The sequence below is a fragment of the Homo sapiens genome, chromosome X (assembly GCF_000001405.40).
Source record: "Homo sapiens chromosome X, GRCh38.p14 Primary Assembly".
NCBI classification, from domain to species: Eukaryota; Metazoa; Chordata; class Mammalia; order Primates; family Hominidae; genus Homo; species Homo sapiens.
The window spans coordinates 55,618,120-55,641,788 of record NC_000023.11 but is presented as its reverse complement, the minus strand read 5'-3'; the positions used below and the strand labels follow the sequence as shown (position 1 = coordinate 55,641,788).

The window sequence follows — 23,669 nt, the reverse complement described above, 5'->3', positions numbered from 1 at the left end:
ATCTCTCCTTAGAGGGACTAGTCACCCTTTTGTATCAGTTCCCATGGCTGCCTTGTTACCTTGATGGTCTTTTTTAGATCATGATCTAAAAAATCCCCTGTATTCTTTCAGATTATTAGGCTTTTTCTCATTTTCAGGGCTAGAGTGACTTTCTCTTGAGGCTTTCAAAATCTTACTTGGGGTATAACTCTCCTTTGTTAATATTTTGACTACTGGTACAAAAATACAGTATTCAAATATTTGAATTAAAGATAATCCAGTGGCTAGCTGTCTGTGGCTTGAAAGCTAATTCCAGCCTGTGGCTTATTTTTGCATAGCTTTTGAGATAAGCATTTTTTTCTTTTTACATTTTAAAGTATTATTTCTAAAAAACACAACAATATGACACAGAAACTACATGGCCTACAAAGACTGAAATATTTATTATTGGGTCTGATAAAGAAAAATTTGCTGCAACTTCATATTAATTTAATATGTATTATTCTGCTTTGCATTATTGTATACATTTTTTCATCCATTATTTAATTTATTTACTCACAGATTGAAAAGTATGGATTACTTTCTTATCTTACTATATCCCCTCAAGAAATCATCCAGCTTTATGATACCATAGTTTCAGTCGGGGGAACTTGGCCCAAGGCTCATGTGAATACACAAACGTGTACCGTGAGGTAGGAGACCAGCAGGACTTGTTTTCTGGTCATAACCCTACTGACTAAAACAGGATCTGATCCAAACAGGATCTGATAGTGAAACTGGCAGAAACCAGCAGGTGGCTGTGAGGGTGATTTCTGGCTGCCCTCATTGCTTATTAGCATGGGACATTCCCACTAGCGCTATGATAGTTTATAAATGCCATGGCAATGAACCAGAAGTTCACCATAATAAAGTAAATAGCATATTGCTATTTATTTTATCAAAGATTTGTGACTGTATATTCTCTCTAAAGGAATTTAATATTAATTTTCTTGATGTAAAATATTTCTTTTCTGATTAAAAAGTAGTAGATGCTTTTTATAGAAAATTATAAAATGTGGACTAGCAGAATAAAAACTAACAGCCACGATTTCACAATGTGAGGTAAATAATTTGTTGCACATCTATCCAGTCCCTTTTATAACTCACCCATATCTTAAATTGTATACATATATCAAATTATCACACTGTTCCCCATGAATATGTGTAATTATTAGTTGTTAAGTAAACATTTTTAAAGAAGAAAAAATAATGAAAGGCATCAACAATTTTGAAACAATATATCAACAGAAAAATTATTCTTTATATAACGTGACAGAGTTAATATTCTTGGTACACACAAAAACTTTTGAGATGAAAAAATTTAAAACAGTATGGATATAACATGATAAATAAATATAAGAATAAAATGAAAAATTAGCACCAAAACAGTTCAAACTATAAAGATATAGAAACACTTATGCACTTTCTAGTAATTTCAGAATGAAAAATAAAGCAACATTTGAATTGAAACTTTCTCCATCAAGTTAGAAAACACTTATTTTTGAATAAACAAGGAATACCCATGGATATTCTTAATAATGCTGCAGTTAAATGGGCACTTTTATAAATCTCCCATTGCTGAGATTTTTGTTTATGATTTTCTGTGTTTTGTAATTTTTCAACAAGCAACATTAAAAACATGATATAAATGAATGTTTTTCACTATGTTTACCAAGAATTTGTATCAATGTAAATACATATTTATGTTATAATGCATACATTTATATAAACATGGGTCTAATCAAGAAGAATATAACATTCTTCCAGATATTTTCTAACTTACGTATGCTCTCTTTTTATTGAACTCTCAATCTATTTCCTAACTACTCATCTGAAAGACTATTCTTTGTTTCTACACATAATATTAGGAGTTTTTACAATTATCATTAATTATGGCAGATTATTACTCTATCAATGATTAATATACATTTGTACCTTCACTGACTAGCAGGATATCAATATATTAATCATAAAAATAGATTTTTATTCAAAGTTACATCTAAAAATATTACCTATTATTGAAGGAGAAAGTTCACATGATAACCATGACTCCAAATGTTATGGCTTGTTTATAGTACTGATGATGTGTTATTGGTTAGATATGATGGTCACATAAGAATTAGCAGGATCACAAAGTAGTATAGGGATGCCAGAAATCTTGTTGGCATAGAATTTGGCTACTTGGTCTTCCTAAACATCCTAAGCTGAAACTGAAGCTGAATAGAAGATTTAGGCTAAGCATTTGTGAAAAAGCAAACTTTGAATGGCTGCATGCAATAAAAAATATGCTTGGAATGATTAAAGGGATACCTGATTTTAATGAGAAAGAAAATCCTGCATTCTCTTGTAGTTTTGAAGTAGAAGACACACAGGATTTAATTCCAGGTCCTGACAGGACTTAAATCATGGTCCCCACAGGAGAGGGTGAAGGAACCCACATGAACCCACAGATAGAGATGATCACAATCTTTAGCTGCCCTCATTGCTCACTAGCACATGATACTCCCACCAGCGCCATGACAGTTTACAACTGCCATGGCAATGAACCAGAAATTCACCCTCCTCTGCCTCCCTGCATTACTAGACAGTTCTAAATAACTCACCCTTCAATTTGCATTAACCCACCCCTTTACATGGAACTGAAAGTGAGTGTAAATGAATATAAATACAGTTGTCAAGAGCCCATAGGTTGCTGCCTGCTGGCTCACTGCCTGTGGGTTAGCCCTGTTCAGAAAGGAGCCATATTGTTCAGTAAAAGTATTGCTGTCTAACACCACCAGCTCATGCTTAAATTCTCTCCAAGGCAAAGCCAAGAACTCTCCTGGAATAAGCTCCAACTTTGGGGCTCACCTATCCTGCATGAGCTTCAAGGGGAGAATTTTCCTGATATTCCATGATTGTATATTTCTCAAGTTGATTTGTTAAAAATATCAAAATCTCAGAATCTTTCATTTTATGTCTTGGTCAATGTGTCATTTGAGCATAATGGTGACATAAAATCTGACGTGTAATAATTGTTAGTCTGATGTACCTTAAAACTTAAAGTATAATAATAATAATAATAAATAAAATGCAGTAGGACTATTGTCCTGTAAGATCTTTTATTGTTACATTACTGGAAGCATGGCAGAAAACTCAGAACCACAGAAAAAAGTCATTAATCAAACCATGTATAAAAATTGGCCAAGGTGGGAGGATCGCTTGAGCCCAGGAATTTGAGACTGGCATTGACAACATAGTGAGACCACTCTCTAAAAATAAATGAATCAATTGCCCAGGTGTGTCCACACCTGTAGTACCACCCACTTGGGAGACTGCAGCATGAGGATTGTTTGAGCCCAGGAGTTGGAGGCTGCATAGAAAGGTATGGTCATACTACTGCCCTCCAGCCTTGGCAACAGAGCAATATCCTTAGAAAAAAGCACGTGTACAGACATAAAATTCCTTATTTCTGTCACAAAAGAAATATATCCTCCACTAAGGATGACGTGGGACTGCGTGTTTCCAGTGTTTCTCAATGCAGGAGATTGGGCAAATAAACAAAAGCTCTCTTAAGTCCCCCCCTTTTTTTTTTTTTACTAAAAAATGCCCTGTGGATGTGGGTACGGGTTATATGGGATCTTTGGGCAGTCAATTTTCTGGCTGGAAACCTCTGTGTCTGGTGGCACCTTTGTTCAAGTTCTTGTTAATGCATCTGGGAAGAATAAGGTATGCAAACAAGTGGAGCTTTATTGAGTGTTAGAACAGCTCAGAGGAGATCCACAGTCAGTAGCTCCTCTTTAGGCAGGTCGTCAGGTCAAGTGTTCAGCTCTCAGCAGAGAGGAGGCCCTGAAGAGTGTGTCTCCTCTCTGCAGGCAGGTCTTTCCAACATCTGCAGCTCTCAGCAGAGAGGAGGCCCTGGAGAGGGTAGCTCCTCTCTGCAGCTGGTTGTCCCATTGTCTCCCATCCTCTGCCCTGCTCTGGCTGAGTCCCAGGCATTTACGGACCTCAGAGGGGAGAAAGTGCATGTACATTAGTCCATGGGTGGGCCTAGAAAAGGCACCACAAGTCCATACTCTGGTCTCTGGGATTGGCAGCCTGGCCCATCCCTGGCCTGAAGGTGGGACCTTACCTAGGACCACCCCCTTCTGCTCTGGACCCTGTCTGCCTCCCACTGCAGTCCATGGTGCCCAGGCTGCTCGGACCTGCAGAGCACTACCCAGCTGCCCTCAGCACCCCCTTGGCTTCCCCTCTCATGTTTCTTGGCACCCAAATTCTGGAGGGGTCTGAGGTGGCAGGGGGCTGGCATTCCAGGGCTGACCTGCCCATGTGCAAGCCCATCTGAGCTGTGAGAGTGCAGGGGCTCAGCCCACAACCTGCTCTGAAATCATAGTGGGTGCTGGGAGCAGGGAGAGACCAGGTAGTGGGAGCAGACACCTCTGAGCCTGCTCCCCAGGGACAGTGTCCCCTGTTCCCTGCTCCCCAGGGACAGTGGGGGCCTTCCCAGGCTTCAGAGATTGCAGGCTACAGACACACCTGGGTCCTGCACCTTGGAGGGAAGTTGCAGCTGCACCCAAGGAGCTCCTGACCCGCCAACTCTGAAGGGTTGGGGCTCCCACTTGTCCCCAGCTCCTGGGTCTGCAGCCATGGATCCAGTGGCTACAGCTGCACCCAGGAGGGCAGGGATCCTGCCTGCTCCATAGAGCCAGAAGTCTGGGTCTTCAACTGCAGTTTGGGTGGCTGCAGGGGCACCCAGGGGCTCCCTCCCCAACTTGTAAAAGGTGGGGATCCCACTTGTCCCTGGCTTTTGCTGGCTCCACAGAGCATGCAGCTCTGGCTGGGCTTCCCTGCTGCAGCCAGTATGATGGCAGTGGCTGCTGCTATCATGGTGACAGAGGGAAAACTCTGGCATTCCCTGAAAGTCCCTGGCTCAATGTGCATGTCCCTTCCTATGCAAATTCCTGTTCCCTGTGGGCCATGCTCTCTGCCTTCTGTCCCTGCAGAGCTGTGGGAGGAAATGTTGTGACTTCTTTCTTGCTAACTATAACACATCAGATAGGTCCATAGATCAGTCCTCCCAGAAGTTGAGTGTGAGTGAACATGAGGGAAAGTGAGCAGACTTCGATGGGTTGGGCCACTTGGTCCACGGCCTGATAGAGATCCTCATCCTTCTACTAGAAGTCAGCAACACCACCATGCACTTGCTCCCTTGAGGGGCCCAGACAAGGGAGGAACAAGGGCCATAGAGGGCAGGAGGGTCAGGTGAACACAGAGTGAGTTTTGAACGGTGATATTGAGATATTTGAGTCTCAGAGGCATAAAAAAAACACACAAGGGAGGATGGATTCCAAAGTCCTTAGTGGGGTCCTAGGAAGGGATGGAGGAAAGAGCAGGGGTAGGGGGAACAAGGAGGGACACCACAGCCCCTAAGGCAAGCACACATCTCACTGCGCATGCTCTTTGGGCGCCCACCTCAGTGCGCATGTTCACTGAGCATCTTCTACTCTACCCGTTCGCCCACGTGGTGAATTCCCTGGAGCTGTGAGGTCAAGTTCCTGAGGTCTGGATTCTTTCTCTCCTACTGAGACGCAGCAGGTAGGTCCACAGGCCAATCCAACTGGGAGTTGAAGTGTGAGTGAGGGTGAGGAGGAGCCAGCAGGCTTCCAGAGGGTCATCAGGGGGAGGGAGACTCAGAGGGAGAAGGGCCTGGAGGTCTTCATCCTTTTCACATGGCGCCACAGCCAGGGGCCTTCTTTTTTGTCAGGGCCACAACTAGGAAGGAAGGAGGGCCTTGGCGCAAAGGGGATCGGGTTAAAATGGGGCACGTGTTGTGGGTGCTGTTGGAGGTATCTGAGTCCCAGAAATGCCTCAAACCACATCAGAGATATCCAGTGACTCTTGCCAGGAGCCTTAAGGCATTATTTGGCTAGCTTCACCACCTTAAGTGACTGTGCAAGCATTCTATTCAGAAGGCACACAAAGTTATACTTGCCCTGGGACTTACCTTCAAAGTATTTCCAAACTTTAAAAAAATGACAAGTTAACATTTGGCCATGGAAGTGCTCAAATATAGCTATCCTCTCAAGTCTATTTTCCCAATCACAGTATTTTTGTATTCTCTTTGCAGAGTGAAATATAATCTGGTGAGGAAGATCAACACGTAGGCCTAGACCAAGATGAAGTTTACAAACTCCTGAGCTGATTAGGCCTATGCTTGTGAATGCTTTAACATTCGTTGTTTTCTATTAGCAGAAATTTCTTTTTGTGATAGTGTTGTTGAACTAGTATATATACACTGTTAAAGGTCTTCCAAGCTGATAAACAATGATCATGGCATCTCATGAAGGAAAGACCAATCCAAGAGGATTATGTTCTGTTTTTTGTTTTGTTTTTTTGGTTGTTTTTGTTTGTTTGTTTGTTTGGAGACGAAGTCTTGCTTTGTCGCCCAGGCTTGGCGACTGCAGCTTCTGCCTCCCGGGTTCAAGCAATTCTCCTGCCTCAGCCTCCCGAGTAGCTGGGACTACAGGCGCATGCCGCCATGTCCAGCTAATTTCATTTTGTATTTTACTAGAGACCCCGTGTTGCCCAGGCTGGTCTCAAACTCCTCAGCTCAGGGAATGCACCTGCCTCGGCCTCCCAAAGTGCTGGGATTACAGGCCAGAGCCACTGTACCTGGCGTACATTCTGGTTTTGCCTGGATGGATAACCCTGTGTTCCCCAGATTTTGCCCATGACTTCCTCCGTATGCTTATTCATAACAGATTGCACACATCCATCCCAACATAGATTAAATCACCTTCCAAAGCCCTTGAGGGTAATTCTGTCTTAGAGTAACCTCTCTGTGGGAAGAATAACTTTATGAATAATAAGTACATGGAATAGTGTTGGAGAAATGTCTTTAGACTTACTTATGATCAGAAATATCTATGTATTCTGTATATTTACATTATTGACATGTATTGATAACAAAACTTTTTATTTGTACACATGCAGCCATGGTCCCAGGAGCCCAGTGATGAGGAGCCTCAACAACAAGAACCACCAACTGAAAGTTGGGATCCTACACCTGGTCAGGAGAGAGATCAGGGTGCAGCTGAGATTCAAGGTGCTGGGAAGGGAAAGAAAGAATGTCTATGGTGGGGAGGAGGCCTATGTGTGCATCATGCCTTACGTCATGACCAGTAACAGGAGGAAAGAAAACATTAGGAAAGGATCTCAAACACTTGCTGAAAGTTCGCTGGAAAAGCGAAGGGTATAGTTTGCAGCTTCATGCAGTCCCTGGATGTAACGAATATTTTCTTTTTCTTCAGGATGTATTTTGTATGCTTGAAAATATAGTCCTTGCTAAATCAGATGAAGCAGTTTAATTTTATGTATAAAAATATGCAGTATTTCACTTGTTTAATGTGTTCTTCTTAGAATGTTGCTTTATGATCTTCTAAGCCATTGCATCAACAGTGCTATAAACACCCTTTAATAGCATGTAGAGTGCCAAGTCATCCTACCTTGTAACACCCTGAATAAAGCCCATTTGCATAGGGATGTTAGCCCCATTTTATAAATAGGAAAATTGAGGCTCAGGGATTGAGGTTTACCAAGAACCCTTGACTCATGGAGACAAAATTCATATTTTGTCCCAAGGTTTGTGTTATCCATGTTGTAATAAGAAAGGTCAGTGGTTTTGCTTAAGATACTTTTTGAATGTGTGTGTACTGTAAGGTACTTCAGTATTGGCTCAGGACAAAACACAGTCCAATGAAGCAGAATAGCAACTCCAGAAAAGAGCTCAATAAATGACAGCCACTCTTAGAGTGGTATCCTTTGATTGGTATTTTTTCAGGATGTTTGGTAAAAGGTGGATAATTCAGGACACTGGCATACAGGTCGCTATATTAGTATGATTTTGAAGGGGCTTTTAAAAGTTTCCGAAGCATTTTCATAATTAGAAAACTCAAAGTACCATAAGCTGAATCAGAAGTTGTTTACTCAGTGGATACCATTTTCACACTAAACATTGGCAGAATTTGGGAAGTGGATTATTTTAGCAATTCATTGTTAAGAGGTTTCCAGAATATAACTGTCAACGATGACCACTAATTTCTTTGCACTCAATTTCCTGTGCCCTCACTGGAAGACAGTTAGTTTCCTGTTATTTTGGTACATTATTCTAAATGTGATTCATTTATATAAACTTACATATAGGGCCCTTGAACCTAAGCATAACGTTAACTAACTTTATCCAAATAATTTTCAAGTTACCTCAACAAGGGATGGGAGTTCAATTGTAAGATTTCTCATAAGCAGCCAAATACATTGATCTAATCCTTTAGAAAATTGCATTTCATTTATGATTAAAATTTATCCAGACTTCAGATTTCTTAGTCGATATTCACTGTTCATAATACACAATGGTAAAGTATGCGAAATGTAGGTGTGGTGTGATTTATCCTCAGACTGTCATTTAAGATAAGATCTTATAATACAGGAAAACAAAAGTGTGACATCTTTACATGACATTTATTAGCACAGTAGTCCACGGGCTTTTATTTCATAACGCTGAGGAAAAGAATACTATCATTTCCTTATTTGCCTTTCTTGTTTGCCTGCTTCAATCAAGAACCTTTGTATTTTTTAGTGCCTGACCTGGAAACTGATCTCCAGGAGCTGTCTGAGTCAAAGACTGGGGATGAATGCAGAGATGGTCCTGATGTCCAGGAGAAAATTCTGCTAAATTTAGAGCAATTTAAAATGCCAGAAGGAGGTATGCTATCCATTAAGAGGCAAAATTACATGCTTTCTGTTTTTCACAATACTATACTTTTGATAATAAAAAGAGAGAATATTACTGCCCCTTTAAAAACACAATTCAAATGCAGGCTTTCTTTGAAAAGTTGTTCCGACCCCAAATGCCTGACTGGAAGACTTAAACACTATCAGATACAGAAACAAATGGGGTCAAAGCCATATTGAATCATCAAATATGAAAGCATTTTCTTACTTGTGACTATAACCAACAACTAACAATTTTCAGATTATTTTCAATTTCTGCTTTTAATAAATACATAATACATTTGTAATACCACTTTGTGTGAAATATGCTGAGTACTGAAGGAGGTTCTAGTACCAGATCTAACACAATTTGTGAGATTTTGGGTGAATTCCATAAATTCTACACCCATCTTCTTCTGTTATTGAAAATAGTAAACGCAAATCAGGTATATTAAAATCTGTTTCAAGGTTGATTTCCGTATTTTCATGTTCTGTTGGATAGAATACAAAGTTATGATTTTTCCTAACAATCAATTTCACTCCAGTTATAATATCTGAGTTGAGATTTCATGGTTCCTAAGTGAGCAACCTGCTTGATGTTTTCTTTCCTGTATGAAGACCCAAATGACTGTTCTTGGATTTTGTTAAATTTTAAATTCTCTGACTCTTAAAGAATAATTGCATTTTAAATCCTTTCTGCAGTGAACCCTTGAGTGACTGAATAATAAAATGGCAAGAGACAGTCAGGTTTCTGTGGCTGATGTAGTAGGGAGCATGCATGTAGGTCAGTGATGTTCAAGGTGGGTATAAGATGCCTGTGCTAAGCATGCTCCCTGTCTTCCTGTCAGTCTTCATGAGCTACTGTGTGTAATTAGATTGAAGGCACATATGATAGAATCATCTCTAACCCTACCATAGGTTACATATTACAGGTTTCTGCCTTGAGACATCAGATGATACAATTTAAAGTTCAAAGACCATAACGTCCTAATTCATGAGTAGTCGACAAAAGTATCTTTTACACATATTTTCCAAATTGCTGACTGTTAATTAGAGGAGCTTCGGAATTTCAAGGAAGCATTCCATATTTAGGGAAGAAATTACCTAAATGCTTTCACTCTACACTGCTGAACCATTCCATTAGACCATTTACATTGAAAGATAGCTTTCACTCTATTTCCAGGAGCCTGTTGAAGCAGCCTCAACCGTATTCTTAGGAAGGTTATAGTCTTTCCTTTGTCTAGAATTAATTTCTTTTTTTTATTATTGTACTATAAGTTCTAGGGTACACGTGCACAATGTGAAGGTTTGATACATAGGTATACATGTGCCATGTTGGTTTGTTGCACCCATCAATTCATCATTTACATTAGATATTTCTCCTAATGCTATCCCTCCCCCAGCCCCACACCCCCCGACAGGCCCCAGTGTGTGATGTTCCCCTTCCTGTGTCTATGTGTTCTCATTGTTCAATTCCTACCTATGAGTGAGAACATGCAGTGTTTGGTTTTTTGTCCTTGTGATAGTTTCCTGAGAATGATGGTTTCCAGCTGCATCCATGTCCCTGCGAAGGACATGAACTCATCCTTTTTTATGGCTGCATAGTATTCCATGGTGTATATGTGCCACATTTTCTTAATCCAGTTTATCACTGATGGACATATGGGTTGGTTCCAAGTCTTTGCTATTGTGAGGAGTGCCGCAATAAACATACATGTGCATGTGTCTTTATGGTAGCATGATTCATAATCCTTTGGGTATATACACAGTAATGGGATCACTGGATCAAATGGTATTTCTAGTTCTAGATCCTTGAGGAATCGCCACACTATCTACCACAATGGTTGAAATAATTTACACGCCCGCCAATAGTGTAAAAGCATTCCTATTTCTCCACAACTTCTCCAGCATCTGTTGTCTCCTGACTTTTTAATGATTGCCATTCTAACTGGTGTGAGATGGTATCACATTGTGGTTCTGATTTGCATTACTCTGATGACCAGTGATGATGAGGCTGCATAAATGTATTCTTTTGAGAACTGTCTATTCATGTCCTTTGCCCACTTTTTGATGCGGTTGTTTTTTTCTTGTAAATTTGTTTAAATTCTTTGTAGATTCTGGATCTGGATATTAGCCCTATGTCAGATGGGTAGATTGCAAAAATTTTCTCCCATTCTGTAGGTTGCCTGTTCAATCTGATGGTAGTTTCTTTTGCTGTGCAGAAACTCTTTAGTTTAATTAGATCCCATTTGTCTATTTTGGCTTTTGTTGCCATTTCTTTTGGTGTTTTAGTCATGAAGTCTTTGCTCTTGCCTATGTCCTGAATGGTATTGCCCAGGTTTTCTTCTAGGGTTTTCATGGCTTTAGGTCTAATGTTTAATTAATTTTTGTATAAGGTGTAAGGAAGGGATCGAGTTTCAGCTTTCTACATATGACTAGCCAGTTTTCCCAGCACCATTTATTAAATAGGGAATCATTTCCCCATTTCTTTTTATGGACAGGTTTGTCAAAGACAGGTGGTTGTATATGTGAGTTGTTATTTCTGAGGCCTCTGTTCTGTTCCATTGGCCTATATCTCTGTTTTGGTACCAGTACCATGATGTTTTGGTTACTGTAGCCTTGTAGTATAGATTGAAGTCAGGTAGCGTGATGCCTCCAGCTTTGTTCTTTCGGCTTAGGATTGTCTTGGCAATGCAGGCTCTTTTTTGGTTCCATATGAACTTTAAAGTAGTTTTTTTCCAATTCTGTGAAGAAAGTCATTCGTAGTTTGATGGCGATGGCATTGAATCTATAAATTGCCTTGGGCATTATGGCCACTTTCAAGATATTGATTCTTCCTATCCATGAGCATGGAATGTTCTTCCATTGTTTTTGTCCTCTTTTATTTTGTTGAGAAGTGGTTTGTAGTTCTCCTTGAAGAGGTCCTTCACGTCCCTTGTAAGTTACATTCCTAGGTATTTTATTCTCTTTGAAGCAATTGTGAATGGGAGTTCACTCATGATTTGGCTCTCTGTCTGTTACTGGTGTATAGGAATGCTTATGATTTTTGCACATTGATTTTGTATCCTGAGACTTTGCTGAAGTTGCTTATCAGCTTAAGGAGATTTTGGGCTGAGAAGATGGGGTTTTCTAAATATACAATCATGTCATCTGCAAACAGGGACAATTTGACTTCCTCTTTTCCTAATTGAATACCCTTTATTTCTTTCTCCTGCCTGATTGCCCTGGACAGAACTTCCAACACTATGTTGAATAGGAGTGGTGAGAGAGGGCATCCCTGCCTTGTGCCAGTTTTCAAAGGGAATGACTTCAGTTTTTCTCCATTCAGTATGATATTGACTATGGGTTTGTCATAAATAGCTCTTATTATTTTGAAATACGTTCCATCAATACCTAGTTTATTGAGAGTTTTTAGCATGAAGAGTTGTTGAATTTTGTCAAAGGCCTTTTCTGCATCTATTGAGATAATCATGTGGTTTTTGTCATTGATTCTTTTTTTGTGATGGATTATGTTTATTGATTTGCATGTGTTGAACCAGCCTTGCATCCCAGGGATGAAGCCCACTTGATCATGGTGGATAAGCTTTTTGATGTGCTGCTGGATTCAGTTTGCCAGTATTTTATTGGGGATTTTCTCATTAATGTTTATCATGGATATTGGATTAAAAGTCTCTTTTTCTAGTTCCTCTGCCAGGCTTTGGTATCAGGATGATGCTGGCCTCATAAAATGAGTTAGGGAGGATTCCCTCTTTTTCTATTGATTGGAATAGTTTCAGAAGGAATGGTACCAGCTCCTCTTTGTACCTCTGGTAGAATTCGGCTGTGAATCCATGTGGCCCTCGACTTGTTTTGGTTGGTAGGCTATTAATTATTGCCTCAATTTCAGAGCCTCTTATTGGTCTATTCAGTGATTCAACTTCTTCCTGGTTTAGTCTTGGGAGGGTGTATGTGTCCAGGAATTTATCCATTTCTTCTAGATTTTCTAGTTTATTGGCATAGAGGTGTTTACAGTATTCTCTGATGGTAGTTTCTATTTCTGTGGGATTGGTGGTGATATCCCCTTTATCATTTTTTATTGTGTCTATTTGATTCTTCTCTCTTTTCTTCTTTATTAGTCTTGCTAGTGGTCTATCAATGTTGTTGATCTTTTCAAAAAACCAGCTACTGGATTCATTGATTTTTGGCAGGTTTTCTTGTATCTCTATCTCCTTCAGTTCTGCTCTGATCTTAATTTCTCGCCTTCTGTTAGCTTTTGAATTTGTTTGCTCTTTCTTCTCTAGTTCTTTTAATTGTGATTTTAGGGTGTCAATTTTAGATCTTTCCTGCTTTCTCTTGTGGGCATTTAGTGCTATAAATTTCCCTCTACATACTACTTTAAATGTATCCCAGAGATTCTGATATGTTGTGTCATCGTTGTCATTGTTTTCAAAGAACATCTTTATTTCTGCCTGCATTTCGTTATTTACTGAGTAGTCATTCAGCGGCAGGTCGTTCAGTTTCCATGTGGTTGTGTGGTTTAGAGTGGGTTTCTTAATCCTGAGTTCTAATTTGATTGCACTGTGGTCTGAGAGACAGTTGGTCATGATTTCTGTTCTTTTACATTTGTTAAGGAGTGCTTTACTTCCAACTATGTGGTCAATTTTGGAATAAGGGCAATGTGGTTCTGAGAAGAATGTATATTCTGTTAATTTGGGGTGGAGAGTTCTGTAGATGTCTATTAGGTCTGCTTGTTTCAGAGCTGAGTTCAAGTCCTGGATATCCTTGTTGACCTTCTGTCTCGTTGATCTGTCTAATGTTGACAGTGGGGTGTTAAATTCTCCCATTATTATTGTGTGGGAGTCTAAGTCTCTTTGTAGGTCTCTAAGGACTTGCTTTATGAATCTGGGTGCTCCTGTATTTGGTGCATACATATTTAGGATAGTTAGCTCTTCTTGTTGAATTGTTCCCTTTACCTTTATGTAATGGTCTTCTTCGTCTCTTTTGATCTTTGTTGGTTTAAAGTCTGTTTTATCAGAGACTAGGATTGCAACCCCTGCTTTTTTTGCTTTCCATTTGCTTGGTAGATCTTCCTCCATCCTTTTATTTTGAGCCTATGTGTGTCTTTGCACGTGAGTTGGGTCTCCTGAATACAGCACACTGATGGATCTTGACTCATCAGTTAATATTGTTATGTGTGAATTTGATCCTGTCATTATGATGTTAGCTGGTTATTTTGCCCGTTAGTTGATGCAGTTTCTTCCTAGCATTGACGGTCTCTACAAATTGGCATGTTTTTGCAGTGGCTTCTACCAGTTGTTTCTTTCCATGTTTAGTGCTTCCTTCAGGAGCTCTTATAAGGCAGGCCTGCTGGTGACAAAATCTCTCAGCTTAGTTTGAAGCTTAGTTTGGCTGGATATGAAATTCTGGGTTGAAAATTCTTTTCTTCAAGAATGTTGAATATTGGCCCCCACTCTCTTCTGGCTTATAGTGTTTCTGCCGATGGTTCTGCTGTTAGTCTAATGGGCTTTCCTTTGTCAGTAGCCCGACCTTTCTCTATGGCTGCCCTTAACATTTTTTCCTTCATTTCAACCTTGGTGAATCTGGCCATTATGTGTCTTGGGGTTCCTCTTCTCCTGGCGTATCTTTGTGGTGTTCTCTGTATTTCCTGAATTTGAATGTTGGCTTGCCTTGCTAAGTTGGGGAAGTTCTCCTGGATAATATCCTGAAGAGTGTTTTCCAACTTTGTTCCATTCTCCCCATCACTTTCAGGTACACCAATCAAACGTAGATTTGGTCTTCACATAAAGACAATTCTTTATACAACAGTGTTAAAAATGGGACTTCTTTTCACATTGTTGTAAATACGAAGCTCACCTGTTGTTTACAATTTTTTAAATTTTGTGTTTTCCAAATGTGCATATTGTACACTTTGGGGGATATGCTTAGTAATGCTATGTGTGATTTTTCTGGAGTTTGATAAGTTTGCTTGCAGTACATTTTCTTTAAAAGAATGGGCAGCTACATGCATACTTCAAAAATATTTTCCTATAAAAAGAAGTTATATAGGTTGTGTTTGCTATCTTAATTTTAGTTGTATTCTTTGATGTTAACATATTTTGTATAATTGTATTTTATAGCTGTATTGAATCGTGTAGTATCAAATATTAGATGTGATTTAATAGTGTTAAATTTAAACCCATTTTTAGTCATTTTTCCAAAACATACTGCCAGATGCAGATGTTCAGTGTAATTTCTTTGCTTGTTCATTTACAGAAAAAGGTGCTCAGTTGTAGAAAGTATTGTACCTTTTAACACCTGATGCATACATCACATGTAACAGGAAAAGCAACAATAAAGTAGCAATCATTAAGAAAAAATACGGCAGAACAAGCTCTATAAGCACAGTCTTATTTTCTTTTGTTATCCAGAATTCTTATGATTCTTAAGCCTCCTAGAAATTGGAAGCTGAATGAAGCAACTCAAGTTTCCTTTATTTTGCACTCGATTACAGCAATTTATAATTTTTTTAAAAAGTTCCTCTGAAGGTATATCTGGATCATGACATTACTGAAGAAGCACCATATCCAGCCACTGCTTTTTTTCATGCAACCAGAGAGCAGAAATAAGGATCAGAAAATACTGAATAGAGTTCAAAGCTCAGAGGTACCAGGTTGCAGCAGAAAACTCCAGGTCTAGTTCTAAAAATGAAAGCTTGCCTTGTTTGAGAAGTTTACAGACTAGGCATATTAGAAGTGTAGTTTGTGATAAAAATAGTCTCATTAATTTCACATCCAGCTCTTTTACTAGTAAGTGTTAATCTGGGAGAAAAATGAGAAGCAACTGGTGACTACTTATATGCAGAATATTTTATTAATTCCAAGGTATTCTGTTAACTTGGTCTTTGCCTTATGATACAGAAGTAGCATTTACAATTTTTTTCAAAAAATACTGTTTGCATATGTTGTTTTGTGATTTAACCTAAATATACAATTTTGTATGAGGTATAATACATCATTATAAAAATGTGAACTTTGAAAATAGTTACAATTATATTGAATTAATTGCTTTTGTAGCTTACAGGCGTTTTTGTACCCCCATTATGAAGGTTTTGCAACTAAATTTATACCTAAAAATCTATTTTCTCCTGGATATATGTTAATATCATTGAAGCAAAAAGCTATGCTTAAATCTGATAAACAAAAGTTTATTTGCATAGAAAAGATGTTAAAGATAATTTTGAAATTAGAAAAACAAATGCTGTAGTGTTTGTTGTTGCTGCTGGCTTGTTTCTTTTTTTGTTTTTTAGCAAAACTCCACTGATGTCTCTTGGCTCCTAAAAACCCACAAGATGAAGTCCAAACACCTAATAGTTTTCTCTTAGTCACTCACGGTCCTCATGTAGTTAAGTCACACTGAACTTCATGCCATTCCCCCAAACACTCCATCCACTTTGTTCACATTGTTGTCTCTGTAATGCCTCTACTCCAGTTTGCCATTTATTCTTCAAAACTAGCTCAAAATGTATTTTTTCCAATGCCCTTTCATGTCTTTCCCAGGAAGAATGTCTCCCCATTTCCATGTCAATTTCTCACATCTGTTTCATCATATTTACATTATAAATATGTCTCCCACTAGTATCCCTCAGCTTTTTATCCTCAGCATCTAAGATGGACCTTGACACATTAGCATATCCTCAATAAAATCTTGAGAACTAAAAATAATAGAAAATAAAGCTTTATCATCAAAAGGCTTGGGGTTAATACAGGAATATTTCACAGGACGTTAAACATACAAACTAAAAGTAGCTGTTTAGAATTATTTGTCAATATTGGAATTGGATGACAAAGAAACAAGGCTTAGAAGTCCAGGGCCAGAAATAGAAAAGTGAGGTTCTGAAGGATAAAATGGGTTACTTAAAAAGGAGATGTAGCTGATGAATGGTAGAAGGGGAAACTTGATTCTTCATCACAAGTCAAATTCTCTTCACATGGCACTCGAGGTTCTCCATGGCTCGGCTCCATCCTGCCTTTTATGCTTTATATTCCACTGTTCACTTTCATGTGTGAAAATACTCTCTATAAACAAAATTCCTTTCTTTCACAAAACACACCCTTCTTTCCTTAGTTTCTATGCCATTGTTTCTAGGATTTCTTTTCCTTTGCTCAAAATTTGGAACAACAGCCACTCTCCTCGTGCGACTTTCCATGACTCTCCACCTGGATTTAAGTTCTGTCTCCCCTGTACCCACCTCTAACTTTACTTAACACCATTATTGTAACAGTAGCTAAAGACAGACTTGGCACCAACCAGGCTGGGTAAGTTTAGAGATTAATGAATGTCAGGGGATAAGTAGGCACAGTAAGGAAGGCAGTGTTCCAAAAGGGAGCAATGGCATTTCAAAGATCAAAGAGAGAGGTCAACAACTCTGGCTGACTCATGCACTCTTGGATTCTCTCCCTTTGAGCAAAGGCTAAGACACGAGTCTCCTCCCAAAAGCGGCGGTGCCCCTCCTTAGTGAGCTTCCAAAGGCAAGAGCGAGGTCTTGCATTATCTTCATCCTTAAGGCTGTCTGGCACCTTCTCAAAGCTGTCCAGGAAGCAGAGGTTGTAATGAATGGTGCTCTTCCAGCCATCCGGAGCTGTCCAGAAAAAGGGGAAATGCTGTCGGGTGAAATTGTAGATCTCCTGCACACTGAGGCCACAGTGGGGGTTGTTTCTTAATGCTAGGGCAATAAGGTGGCTACAATTGAGAGGGGGCCTTTGCCAGGACTTCTCTTGGTTGTTGATTTGCCATAGTTTCTGGCTCTGGTAACATTTCATTTCAGGGGACTGGAGGGAGTTGTCGTCTGGTTCCTCAGCCTCCTCTTCTGTGAGCTCAAAGTCACTGGGGGAATGGATACCCTGCTTCTGTAAAGGAGACTGCTCACTGGAGGAAGATGGCAGAGACTCTACCACTTTGTCCTCTGAGCAGTTAGACCCTTCGTCTTTTTGTGGGGGCTGAGGGAAAGGAGAAATGTTTGTCAGATCCTCTTTTCCACTGGGCTTTGGGGCCTCCTGGCTGCCAAGGGGGCACAGGATATTGGGGTCCACCCACATCCACAGATTGGGTTCACAGGGAGGACCATCTCCATCAGGACTGGGTCTCCTCTTCTGAGGCATTTCTGGGGGCTTCATTACTCCGACTCTGTATTTGGCAAGGATTTGCTCAGCTAAAGAGCACTGGTCTGTGGTACAAGGCAGAAATAACTCATTCCTCATGTCCCAGTCCAGCAGCCCTGGGACCTGGCCATGGAGACTATACCAAAATTCACAGTCTTTTAGTTTTAAGTCCATCTTTACTGGAGAGATAGGTGGAGAGAGACTTCTGAAAGAACAGATATCTAGCAGGCACTTAAAGCTGTCCTTTGGGCATCATTTTTTTATGCAGTGTATCTCATCTAGGGAGCTTATCAGTAGGCCTGCTAGAAGCACTGAAGAAAGAGGCACCAATGTCTCACTGATTAGTGGTCAGACCTGGAGAAACCTCAGCTTTCTGGAACAAGGCTCAAAACATGGAAGTAATAAAAAAGAGCTTTTGAGCAGAAAAACATTTTTAGGTGGAATTCTTGAGCTTTGATTGGAAGCAGAAAGTCACTTCAAGAGGAATTATAAACTGAATTATGTGCAAACTATGGTGACTTGCATAATAGGTGATCATCTGGCACATATTTAAACCCTTGATGAGTTCATTTAAGGAAGGGACAAACATATGTATAGATCACATTATATTTCTGAGTCTTCCTTAATGGTTTTAAAAATCATTTCATTCATCGAGTGCCTTTGGATTTTGGTTAAGTGCTTTCACATAGATGATCTCAACTGATTTTCATCACAGCCCTGCAAGATAACATGGTATTATTATCCTCATGTCACAGACATGGCAACTGAGATATACAGACATGAGTAAGTAGGAGAGCTAGATCCACAGCCCAGATCTTTTATTTTCACTATACGCATTGCCTCTTGATCATACTCAACATACGATATACAACAGGCAGTAATATGTGCAACCTGAGTTTTATAGTAAGATGGTAACTATCAGAACATGGCCTCTATTATTCTCATACTGATACTAGAATCTAACCTTGCTGCCGTTTTCAATCCTTTTCTGGGAAACAGCTGGCTTTCCTCTCTCCAGGTCACCTTCTTAGGAAATGAGTTCTGAACTATACTCTGAACAGTAGGACCAAAATTTAGCCACAGTATGCAAGGTCCTGAAAGCCCCAGAGGTTCTATTTCCAGTAAGTTCACACCCAGGACATTTGTAAGAAAAATAAAATGGCAAGGTTTCCTTTAATTCAGTTTGCACAAAATCCATGTGTAAAGTATGCGATATCATTAAAATCACTACATAGGACTATGTTGCAAACATATCCAGCAAATGTCAATGGGAGCTATTGGAGAGGCACTTTAATCTCCATATTGTTTCCATACTCTGGTTCTCTTCTACTCTAATCTTTCATACAAGTGGCCTGAGTTGTCTTTCTACAGCATAAATACAAAAAACAACACAACAGTTGTACCAACTGTTAATTATTACAGAATGCTGTAAGCACTCTAACTCAAATCTTCAAAATAATCCTATGAAGTAGGTACTCTTATTATTCTTCCTTTACAGAGTAAAAAACATAAGGCACAAAAAAGCCTAAGTCACAGAGCTAGTAAAGGCCAGAGCTGACTTTCAAACATAGGCAACCTGACTGCAGAACACATGCTTTTACTAACTATACCAATCTTCTCTATTTTGGTGTTATAACATAAAATCTTATAACTTAATGCAACATAAAAGTCCCTCCAAAATCTCACCCCTGCTTACCTTTCCAGGGTAACTTAACACCCTAGCTTTCTTGCTTCATACTTCACGTCCAAAAAGTACTGAAATGCTGGGATCTTCACCACACACCCGTTTTTTTCTCATGTCCCTTTGCTCAAAAACATTCGCTTAAAATGGCTTACTACCCATTGCCTTGACTTAGCTAACCTCTACTCATCTTTTAAGACAACAGAAAGCCTTCTCTAATAAAAACGCTGCTTCCATCTCCCCATAGGGAATTAATGGATCTCCTTCCAGTGGGGCACTGATCTTGGAAAAGCAGGAGATTAACTTGAAATATTTAGCTTATTATGCCAACCACGGAGAGCCTGGAAGCATTTTAGTGCTCAGCAGTCTTTTATTCCTTAAATGGGGGCTCTAGTGTTACAGAATTTCTCCTCCATCTTCACCTGGGAGAGTGCTCCAATCCTTAGATATTGGCTAGTAAAACCAAGTTATCACTGTGTATTGTTTCTTTGGGCCTCATTTAGAAACATTCAATATTTACGTATTGAGCATCCACCATGTTCCAAGAAGTATGTAATAGATCTGGCAGATGAGTAAGACACAACCCAAGAGGATATCACAGAGTAATGCGGAAAGACAGAGAAGTAAACAAAAGGTTAAAATACAGTGTGATGAGTATTAGATACTTCAATAGAAGAACATAGAGAGGAACAACTTAACCCAGATAATAGGAATCAAAAGGGATCCCATGGAAGATATTATTTAAGCTTAAAAGACATGTTACCCAGAAGCAGAGATATGGAGAACAGGCTAGCACATGCCAACCAGGTACACATTCAACACAGTATATGTACTATACAAAGCAAAACCCATAAAACTATATGAGTTTTAGAGTAAGATGTTAACCATCAAAAGATGGCCTCCGTTAATCTCAAACACATGTTAGAACCCAATCTTGCTTAAGTGTGCTCCAGGAAAGGAGACAGGGACATTTTGCACATGCTCTGGAAAAGTACTGAAACTCATATTTGTGGGTAGCCTGTTTCCCAGGTCCCAACCTATCCCGAGTGTTGATATAGGCAAAAATGTCAGCGGTTGATGAAACCATATGTTATAAGCAAAAAATGGCACAACAACATAAAAAGTTGGAAAAAGTGGTGGGAACTCATAATGACCTTAGAAATACCTCTTCAGCATGGGCATGCTTATGCTTGCTCTCTTATACACATACACACACACACACACACGCAGTCCCAATGGTATGATTTGGCTCTGTCCCCCACCTAAATCTCATGTTGAATTGTAATCCCCAATGTTGGAGGAAGGACATGGTGGGAGGTGATTGTATAATGGGGATGAATTTCTCCCTTGCTGTTCTCATGATATTGAGTTCTCACAAGATGTTTTTTTGAAAGTGTGTAGCACTTCCCCCTTTGCTCTCTCTCTCTCCTGCTGTCATGTGAAGATGTGCTGGCTTGCCCTTCACCTTCTGCCATAATTGTAAGTTTCCTGAGGCCTCCCCAGCCATGCCTCCTGTACAGCCTGTGGAACTGTGAATCAACTAAACCTCTTTTCTTTATAAGTTATCCAATCTCAGGTAGTTCTTTATAGCAGTGTGAGAACGGACTAATACACCCAACAACAGGAGCAGCAGTAGAAGCAGTGCTGTTACCTGCCTTCAATTTTCAAAAGCATTCCTGTGCCCAGATTTTGGTCCCCACTCAAAGGACTGATAAGGAGGGTAGCTGATACACATTTTTGGGCAGAAAAAAGTCAGCAATATTAATAAAGACTCTTGTTACAATAAAAATTCTTTCAAGAATGTCAGGAGCAGTGTTGAAAGGATGAAAAGTCACCTTAAAGGGGCTCTCATTACCAAATTGTAACTTTTTATTTTACCACATATGCTATGATTAATTGAAACTATTTTAGTCTGTTAAATGCTGTAAGTACATGATGATACTCCTAAAAGTAAAAAAGGTAGTTGTGGGCTGGGTGCAGTGGCTCATGCCTGTAATTCCAGTGCTTTGAGAGGCCAAGGCAGGAGGATTGCTTGGAGCCAAATGTTTGAGACCAGCCTGGGCAACAGAGTGAGACTCTGCCTCTGTAATTTTTTAAAAAATCAGCTGTGCATGATGGCATGCGCCTGTAGTTCTAGCTACTCAGAATCCTGAGGTGCGAAGATTGCTTCAGCCCAAGAGTTCAACGCTGCAGTGAGCTGTGATGGCACCACTACACTCCAGCCTGGTCAGTGGAATAAGACCTTTTCTCTTATAAAAAAAAGAAAAAAAGGTACTTGTAATGAAAAAAAAAAAATGCCATAGGATATTTAAGATTTGTTGCTTTTATATACGAAACTGCTAAATATTCATGGGTACTTTTTTCATTTTAAGTATATGTCTTTTGTAAAGCATAGATATGTACTTGTTTCCATCAATGGGCAATCAGGAAAGAATACAGGAAAAACGATGAGTAAGCTATATGTGGTTCCAGAAAAACAGGTACAATACCAATGGCTGCTGTGTATAGTTGTATAGGTTGCATGCAGCCCAAGGGTGCCTGTGATGGTTAATACTGAATGTCAACTTAATTGGATTGAAGGATGCAAATTATTGATCCTGGGTGTATCTGTGAGGGTGCTGACAAAGGAGATTAACATTTGAGTCAGTGGGCTGGGAAAGGCAGACCCACCCTTAATCTGGGAGGGCACCATCTAATCAGCTGCCAGTGTGGCTAGAATATAAAGCAGGCAGAAAAACATAAAAAGACTAGACTGACCCAATCTTCCAGCCTACATCTTTCTCCCATGCTGGATGCTTCCTGCCCTAGAACATCAGACTCCAAGTTCTTCAGTTTTGGGACTCGGTCTGGCTCTCCTTGCTCCTCAGCTTGCAGATGGCCTATTGTGGGGCTTGTGATAGTGTGAATTAATACTTAGTAAACTCCCCTTTGTGCGTGTGTGTGTGTGTGTGTGTGTGTGTGTGTGTGTGTATATATAGCGAGACAGAGAGGTGGGGAGACAGATAGAGAGCGCTCTGGCATTGGCTAATTAATCATGGTGTTCTAGAAGTGAAATTGATAGGAAGCCTACTGCATTCCTACTTAATTTATATAAGCAGAAAACTTCTAGGTCGAATGGACAAAAGACTAATTTGAATTATGAAAACAGAAAATCACGGCCTCTCAATCAATTTCTAGACTTGAGCCAGTTTACAGACCCGAACCCCTTGAATGAAGAGGAGGCCGAGTCCCCTTGAGGAAGGACCCCATTACACTACTGACAATTTATGCTGTTAATCTTTCTCCCATCCTTCCGCAAGGAGACCTCCGGCCTTTTACCAGGGTAACTGCATTGAAGAAACGGAAATGATCAGACATTTTGGGGACTACTGGAAACTGGCTCTGAGCTGACATTGATTTTGTGGGACCGAAAACGTCATTGTGGTCTTCCAGTTAAAGTAGGGGCTTATGGATGTCAGGTAATTAATGGAGTTTTAGCTCAGGTCCGATTTACAGTGGGTCCAGTGGGTTCCCGGACTCATCCTGTGGTCATTTCCCCAGTGCCAGAGTGTATAATTGGTATACACATACTTAGCAGCTGGCAAAACCCCTACATTGGCTCCCTGACTGGTAGGGTGAGGGGTATTATGGTGGGAAAGGCCAAATGGAAGCCATTAGAGCTGCCTCTACCTAGAAAAATAGTAAACCAAAAACAATATCGCATCCCTGGAGGGATTGTGGACATTAGTGCCACCATCAAGGACTTGAAAGACACAGGAGTGGTGATTCCCACCACATCCCCATTCAACTCTCCCATTTGTTTTGTGCAGAAGACAGATTGATCTTGGAGAGTGACAGTGGATAATAGTAGGCTTAACCAAGCGGTGACTCCAATCGAAGCTGCTGTACCAGACGTGGTTTCATTGGTTGAGCAAATTAACACATCTCCTGGTACCTGGTATGCGGCCACTGACTTGACAAATGCTTTTTTCTCCATTCCTGTCCATAAGGCCTACCAGAAGCAATATGCCTTCAGCTGGCAAGGCCAGAAATATACCTTTACTGTCGTACCTCAGGGGTATATTGACTTTCTGGCTTTGTGTCAT

The 23,669-nt window shown here is 40.0% G+C and overlaps 1 protein-coding gene and 1 pseudogene across 1 annotated transcript; one reads left to right on the top strand and one right to left on the bottom strand.

The window, feature by feature from the left end:
- The first annotated feature begins 6,132 nt into the window (after positions 1-6,132).
- Positions 6,133-8,967, top strand: LOC107985642 (X antigen family member 3-like; annotated as a pseudogene).
- FOXR2 (forkhead box R2) lies at positions 15,597-18,389 on the bottom strand. Its single transcript, NM_198451.4, has one exon. It carries the CDS (start codon positions 18,075-18,077, stop codon positions 17,142-17,144), a length of 936 nt encoding a protein of 311 aa, NP_940853.1. The 5' UTR covers positions 18,078-18,389; the 3' UTR covers positions 15,597-17,141.

What these genes read in the sequence shown, in the direction of transcription:
- FOXR2 (NM_198451.4), bottom strand. Translation starts at nt 18,077, where the DNA reads ATGGACTTAAAACTAAAAGACTGTGAATTTTGGTATAGTCTCCATGGC.